At 51.4% G+C, this 8,285-nt stretch overlaps 1 pseudogene; it reads left to right on the top strand.

Moving 5' to 3' along the window:
* The first annotated feature begins 1,432 nt into the window (after positions 1 to 1,432).
* On the top strand, positions 1,433 to 5,088 carry LOC102724526 (protein phosphatase 1 regulatory subunit 26-like; annotated as a pseudogene).
* The last annotated feature ends 3,197 nt before the right edge of the window (positions 5,089 to 8,285 follow it).

Genomic DNA, 8,285 nt, shown 5'->3' with positions numbered 1-8,285 from the left:
GAGAGAATAGGATGCTATATTCAATGTATTGGAAGAAAAAAACTGCCAATCAGGAAGACCACAACTTGTAAAGCTGTCCTTCAGAAATGAAAAAGAGATGATAAGGTCTTTCCCAGACTCCCACCAAAAAAATTCTAAGGGAGTTCATCACCACTGCACCTGCCTTATAAGGCAGTTTTTCAAGTTGAAATAAAAGGATTCTGATTAGCAACATTAAAACATTAAGATATTAAGTTCACAGGTAGGCCGGGCGCAGTGGCTCACGCCTGTAATCCCAGCACTTTGGGAGGCCAAGGCGGGTGGATCACAAGGTCAGAAGAGGGGGATCATGCTGGCTAACACGGTGAAACCCCGTCTCTACTAAAAATACAAAAAATTAGCCAGGCGTGGTGGCGGGTGCCTGTAGTCCCAGCTACTCGGGAGGCCGAGGCAGGAGAATGACTTGAACCCGGGAGGCAGAGCTTGCAGTGAGCCGAGATCATGGACACTGCCCTCCAGCCTGGGCGACAGAGCGAGACTCTGTCTCAAAAAAAAAAGTTCACAGGGAAAGGTAAGTATATAGTCACATTCATAACACTGTAATATTGCAGTGGTGGTGTGTAAATCACTTTTCACTGTAGTATAAAAGTTAAAATGTAAAAGTATTAGGCGGCCCGGGCGCGGGGCAGCTGCTGCGGGGAGGCGGGGAGGCGGGGGGCCTGGCCGGACACCCCTGCGCCCCCTCCCCGCACCCGGGCGGAGGGCGGCCTCTTCCCCCTCCCCCTCCCCCACCACCCCCGGCAGCCGCCTCCCCCAGGACGCAGGAGGCGGGCGGAGGCCGGGTCCGCGCAGCGGGCGACTTGCGGCATGGGCCGGGTCGAGGTGGGGGGGCGGTTTCGGGGGCTGGGAAGCTGGGGTGCCGGGGACAGGAGGGTGGGGGAGCTGGGGAAAGGAGGGCTGGGGGGCCGGGGACAGGAGGGCCATGCAGGCAGTGGCAAGCGGGCGGCGAGGGCTCCGTGGGGCAGGTGGACGGGGATCAGCGCCTGGGGCTGCTCCGTTCCCCAGGCGGGTGTCGTGGCTCTGGCCTCCATGCAACTCCAGGTCTGCGCGCCCCGCGCTGCTGGAGCCCCAGTCAAAAGTCTATTTAAAAAGCAGAGAGAGGATGCTTCCCTCTGAGTGGAGCGATGAAGACCTGATCCCTGGGCCATTTGGGAACACTAGCTGCCTTTCATCACAGTCAACCTGGACTCAGAGAATGTCAAGAGCTTGTTGGTTGGGTCAAGAATGAATCTAGGCATGACGTCATAGTTTATAGTCATCCTTTTAAACCTGCAAAGAAGCATTTGCAGGTTTAAAGTTATTTCACGGGTACTGCTTGCCAATCTTTGGAGGATGTGAAGCCTGCAGAGAAATAAAGTGTCGCCCCTCTGCGCGTCGCTCCCCATCTGCCAGAATGTTTCTCATGAATGCTCCTCCAGTGGTTGCTCTCCAGCGCAAATGGGTGGCCTCTGTCCCACCAGGGAGCTTTAGGTTCCCCGGGTGCTTCTCGGAGGCTGACAAGGGCGTGGAGAGCATGTCGGTGAGCACCCGGGTGCAGATGCTCATCAGCACGCTGCAGAGCGACAGGGCTGCTAGGGGCACCAGCGATGAGCGCACTGCGCAGAGGGGGCAGAGGGATGCCACGACGCCAGGCCTGCTGCCAAGCCCACCATGCACAAGGAGCTGCCTGCGTTGGCTGCCTGTGGTCTTGTTGCTGACTTTGACCCCGTGGGGGAGGAGGAAACTGCAGACTTTGGCCCATTGGTGCTAGATTCAGACAGTGACGATTCCGTGGACCGGGACATTGAGGAGGCCATCCAGGAGTACCTGAAGGTAAAGAGTGGAGCCGCACAGCCCGGGGCCAGCGGGGCCCAGCCATGCACAGCCTTCCAGGGCTGCAGGCGGAGGCAGTAGATGTAAGCCGGAACTGGCTCACAGCAGTGCCCAACTGCCCTGTGTTCCCCAAAACTTGTACCTGGCTCAGGTGGTGTGGCCCTGGCAGCCAGGTGGGATCCAGCAAGGACCAGGGCTCTGCCTCCCCAGTCAGCATGAGCAGAGCAGACTCCTTTGAGCAGAGCATCAGGGCAGAAATCGAACAGTTTCTGAATGAGAAAAGACAGCATGAGACCCAAAAATGTGATGGGTCAGTGGAGAAGAAACCAGACACACATGAAAATTCGGCGAAGTCACTCTCGAAATCCCACCAAGAGCCGGCTACAAAGGTGGTGCACCGGCAGGGCCTGATGGGCGTCCAGAAGGAGTTCGCCTTCTGCAGACCTCCCCCGGTTAGCAAAGACAAACGTGCAGCCCAGAAGCCTCAGGTCCAAGGTCACGACCACGCAGGAGAAGGAGGGCAGCACAAAGCCAGCAACCCCCACCGCCCTTCAGAAGCAGTACAGAATAAAAGTGGGATTAAAAGGAACGCCAGCACAGCAAGGAGGGGAAAGCGAGTCACGAGCGCCGTACAGGCGCCCGAGGCGTCCGACTCCAGCAGCGACGACGGCATTGAGGAGGCCATCCAGCTGTACCAGGTGCAGAAAACACGCAAGGAGGCCGACGGGGACCCGCCCCAGAGGGTCCAGCTCCAAGAGGAAAGAGCACCTGCCCCTCCCGCACACAGCACAAGCAGCGCCACAAAAAGTGCCTTGCCAGAGACCCACAGGAAAACACCCAGCAAGAAGAAGCCAGTGCCCACCAAGACCACGGACCCTGGTCCAGGGGATCTGGACGCTGACCATTCCCCCAAGATCCCAAAGGAAACCAAAGCTCCACCTCCAACGAGCCCGGCTTCCAGGAGCAAGTTTGTGGAATGGTCCTCTTGCCAGGCAGACACCTCCGCTGAGCTGATGTGTGTAGAAGCAGTCCTGGACATTTTCAAGACGATCCTGCCGGCCCTATGGAGGGCAGCGATGGGTCCCTGTCCGCAAGCCCACTCTTCTACTCCCCCAACGTGCCTTCCCGCTCTGATGGTGACAGTAGCTCCGTGGACAGCGACGACAGCATTGAGCAGGAAATCTGGACGTTTTTGGCCCTCAAGGTGCAGTCTAGAAGTTTGCTGGCCAGAGGTGAGAGCTGCCCTCAGGCTGCCCAGGGCCCACTTTCACCACCTGGCCTCAGCAGCCAGACCGGCAGCCCCAAGGCCCCTCTCTCTAAAACACTGGACCCACTCCTGGCTGCAAAAGGAAGCATAGAGGCGGCTGCCAAGTGAGGCCATCCACTCCCAAGAACATGCGGGTGGTGGGGAAAGAGGGTGGCCAGGATGCCGACCGCAGCCAGGGGAGAGCCGGGCCGGGCCATGAGGGGCGGGACCTTTCCATCCAGGGCACAGCCAGCGAGGCCCCGGGATGGGAGGGCGCCGCTAGGGTGGGACCTTTCCATCCAGGGCACAGCCAGCGAGGCCCCGGGAGGAGAGGGCGCCGCTAGGGTGCCCGGTGACACTCGCACGTCACAGGGCCAGGGTAAGACAGACGAGGCAAGGCACCTAGACAAGAAGAAGAGCTCCGAAGACAAAAGCAGTTCCCTGGACAGTGACAAGGACCTGGACACAGCCATCAAGGACTTGTTAAGGTCCAAGTGAAAGCTCAAGAAGAGGTCCAGGGAGCCCAGGGCTGTGTGCAGGAAGAAGGTCAGGTTCAGCACCTCCCAGACGCACTTCCAGGAGCAGCTGGGCAGGCTCCTGAGAGAGTGGAAAAACAGGCACCTGCAGGTGCTGAAGAGCTGCCTAAGTCCAAGAGAGACAGCTGCGAGGGCTCCAGGAAGAAACCCCCCAGTGTCTTTGGCAGCAGGGCCGAGAGGACGAAGCCTCGGCCTTCCTGGTGAGGAGACCCGCTTCTGCCTCCGCCTCCGAAGAGAATCTATTCCCCAGAGAGTCCCAGGGCCCAGCTCCCAGCCCTGGCTCCTTGTCTGACAACAGCAGTTCAGTGGACAGCGACGATAGCATCGAACTGGAGATTAGGAAGTTTTTGGTGGAAAAGGCCAAGGAGTCGGTGAGCAGTTCAGAAGTTCAGGCAGAGGGCCCCACCGCTCTCGGGACAGGGGGCCCAGCCAGGCCAGAGGTACCTTGCAGGAAGGAGCCGGCCCCACTGCCTGGCATGTGCACACGGAGCCAGAGGGCCGGGGGGTCCCACATTTGGCTAAAGGGCATCGAGGCGCAGGGAGCGCAGGAGCACAGGGCGCAGCGTGCCTGCTCAGCCAGGGTGGGAAGGGGCTCCCCACTGATCCGGCGGAGGGGATCATGCGCCACCCAGGAGGACCAGCGGCAGTGTCTCCGCCAAGGTCTCTCAGTGAGCAAGAGAAATGTTTACGTTTACAAAGACCAGAGCCCACGAGGGGCTGAGCCTGCTGCCAAAAGTGCTTTTGGTCAGCGGCCCAGCTGTGCCACAGCGGGCACCGAGGCAGGAGGAGCCAGGGGGACCTTTCACGTGGACTGCAGGAACCGGAGCTTCCTGACCCCCAGCCCGGGAGCTGAGAGGGATGCTGGAGCCCAGGCCAACCGCGCCCCGCCCTGGAGTGACTTTGCCCACCACAGTCGGCTGCCCAGCCCATGGGCACTGCGCTCCAAAGGTAGAGATGCGGCGTGGAGGGGGCGGCATTGGGAGAGAGAGACAAGGGGTCCGAGGGCCCCGCCCGGGGCCTGCCCAGCCTGCCCCTTGCGGGCTTCTCCCCGCTGCTGTCCACCCAGCTCTTCCACTTTGGAAAGGGTGTCTCCTGGCGGGGCAGGGAGACCGGCCTCTTCAGCCCCTACCTGGGGCTGCCTCTGCAGGGCCTGTCCTTCTCGGCCTTCAGGGAGTCCCAGGCCAGGCCCAGCCTTGTCTTTGGAAGCCCACACTTGCTGGCGAAGAAGGACTGCGATCACCGGCCAAGCAGGAAGGTACAGACGGGGCTGAGTTTGCACAACAGGAAGAGCTCTGGCTCGGAGGAAAGGATTTTAGACCTGAGGTATCCACGAAGGGTCAATCAGTAGAGTTGACCAGGACCAGGACACCTTGGGCAGGGACACCAGTGACTTCAGCAACACCTCCGCAGAGGTGTTGCTGCTGCAGTGGCGGCAGCTCAGTAGTGAAGGTATAAGACCTCGAGCTGTGGGTTCGCGTCCTGGGTTCCATGCATTCGTGGAAAGCGGCATAGCCGACGTGTATCTGTGCCTGTGTGTGATGGTTCTGTGGTTGCAGGGAGGGGAAACAGTCTGTTATACATAGTCTTGTATATATGTATACCAACACGAAACAATGCTTTTATTTAACAGATGTGTCCTGGTAAATATGATTTTTGTAGATTTTGTACATTATTTAAAGTGATGAAAAATGTTTTTGGAAAATACTGTTGGTCAATTTTGTAGGGTGTTCCTTAACTGCAGTTTTCTGTGTTCTGCATACAAGTCTTAGATTAGAAAACATTTGGTTTTTATCATCACAACCAGGTTTACAGGGACTCTGATGTTTTTTGGTTGGTTGCTGGTGAGAATGGCCAGCGCTGGCTGCAGGGGTAGCCTTAGGAAGGCCAAGGTGCCCTCCCCAGGAATCGCTCACATGCCCCAAAGTGTCCGTCAGGAAGTTCCTGGGACAGCACTTTTTATACAGAGGACACCCCCCCACCACCGCCTGGCTTCATGGTCCTTGGAGGCCAGAGCACATCTGAAAACTACAGGAACGGAAAACCAAACTCCGCATGTTCTCACTCATAAGTGGGAGTTGAACAATGAGAACACTTGGACACAGGGCAGGGAATATCACACACTGAGGCCTGTTGGGGGATGGGGGCAAGGGGAGAGATAGTATTAGGAGAAGTACCTAATGTAAATGATGGGTTGATGGGTGCAGCAAACCACCATGGCACATGTATACCTAAGTAATAAACCTGCACTTTCTGCACGGCTACCCCAGAACTTAAAGTATAATTAAAAAAAAAAAAAAAACAGAAAAAATAAGTAGAGATTAAACCAGTAATGAAAAATCTCCCAACAAAGAAAATCCCAGGACCAAATGGTTTTACTGGTCAATTTCAACAAACATTTAAAGAATTAATAACAATCCTTCTCAAACTCTTCCAAAAAAATTGAAGAAAAGGGAACACGTTGAAACTCATTCTAAGAGGCCAGCATTATCCTGATATCAATGCCAGATAAGAACACTACAAAATAAGAAAACTATAGGTCAATATCCCTGGTTAACATAGATGCAAAAATCCTCAATGAAATACTAGTAAACCAAATTCAACAGTGCATTAAAAGAATTATTCACCATGAATCCAGTCTCTACCAAAAATCCAAAAAAAAAAAAAATTAGCTGAGCATGCTGGCGGGTGCCTGTGGTCCCAGCTACTAGGGAGGCTGAGGCAGGAGAATGGCGTGAACCTGGGAGGCGGAGCTTGTAGTGAGCCGAGATCGCGCCACTGCACTCAGGCCTGGATGACAGAGCGAGACTCCATCTCAAAAAAATAAATAAATAATAAATAAATAAAAAACAAAAAAAGAATTATTCACCAGGATCAAGTGGGATTTATCTCTGGCATGCAAGGATGCTTTAACATACAAGAGTCACTAAATGTGATACACCACATCAACACAATAAACGATAAAAATCCTTTATTTTTATTATTAAAAAGCACTTGATAAAATTCAACATCCTTTCATGATTAAAAAAAACAACAAACTGAGCAAATTAGGTGCAGAAGGAATGTACCTCAACATAATGAAGACCACATGTAACATACTCAACAGTGAAAGACTGAACGTTTTTCCTCGAAGATGAAGAACAAGACAAGAATTCCTACTCTCACCATTTCTCCTCAAAATAGGACTGGAAGTCCTAGCCAGAACAATTAAGCAAGTAAAGAAATAAGAATGGAAGTAAAATGGTCTCCATAGATGACATATTTTTATGTATAGAAAACTGTAAAGACTTCACTAAAAGACTGTTAGAAGTAATAAATTCAATAAAGTAGCAAGATACAGAGTCAACATCCAAAAATCAGTTGCATTTCTATGCATAGATGGACTGGAGGGCATTATGTTAAGTAAAATAAGCCAGACACAGAAAGTGAAATATTGTACAATCTCACTTATGTGTGGAACCTAAAGACGTCAAACTCAGAAGAAGAGAACAGAATGGTGGTTGCTGGGAGCTGGGGAAGAGAAGGAAATGGGAAGTTGATGGTTAAAGTGTACAAATTTCAGTTATGCAAGATAAGTAAGTTCTGGAGAGCTATACAGCATAGTACCCACAGAAAATGATACTATATTCTTAAATTGTTTAATTAAAAACTTTTATTATTATTATTTTTTTTTAGACAGAGTTTCACTCTTGTTGCTAAGGCTGGAGTGCAATGGTGCTGTCTCGGCTCACTGCAACCTCCACCTCCCAGGTTCAAGAGATTCTCCCACCTCAGCCTCCCAGTACTTTGCTCAGATTATAGGTACCCGCCACCACGCCCAGCTAATTTTTGTATTTATAGTAGAGATGGGGTTTTGCCATCTTAGCCAGGCTGCTCTCCAACTCCTGATCTCAGGTGATCCGCCTGCCTCAGCCTCCCAAAGTGCTGGGATTACAGGCGTGAGCCACCGCACCTGGCCATTAAAAACATTTTTTTATACAATAATAATAATAAAGAGGCAGAAGGAAATTTTAAAAGGTGATGGATATGTTTATAGGCTTGATGATAATGGTTTTATGGTGTAAATTTATCAAGATGTGTACGTTAAATATGTACAGTTTTTATGTAAATCATTCCTCAACAAAATGGTTTAAAAAGTAATAAAGTAATTACTGATAAGGGGGGACTTACTTCTGGCATTTTGCTATACATTTTCTATATGCCTTACAGCATTTTTGTCCATTTCCTGCATGATCTCATTTGTATTTAGTTGATTTTTTGTAGCGAAGTGTTTTAATTCCCTTCTCATTTACTTTTTTATGTTATATAATGTTTTATTTGTGGTTACCATAGGGATTACACTTAACATTCTAAAGTTATAGCACTCTAACTTGAATTCATACCAGCTATATTTCAATAATATGCAAAAACTCTCCTCACAGTTTTGCCACTCCTCTTTCAGTTATCAATGTCACAAAATTACATTTTTGTACATTGTGTGTCCATAAACATAAACTAATAATTGTTTTTAATGCATTTGTCTATTAAATTATGTAGAAAGCAAAACATGGAGTTTTAAACCAAAGTTACGATAATACTAGATTTAATATTTTCCCATATATTTACTTTTACTGGCATCTTTATTTCTTCATATGGCTTTGAGTTACTATCTAGTG

The sequence above is a fragment of the Homo sapiens genome (assembly GCF_000001405.40).
Source record: "Homo sapiens chromosome 22 unlocalized genomic scaffold, GRCh38.p14 Primary Assembly HSCHR22_UNLOCALIZED_CTG1".
Classification (NCBI taxonomy): domain Eukaryota; kingdom Metazoa; phylum Chordata; class Mammalia; order Primates; family Hominidae; genus Homo; species Homo sapiens.
The sequence above is the reverse complement of the archived record's forward strand: the minus strand, read 5'-3'. Positions and strand labels throughout refer to the sequence as shown.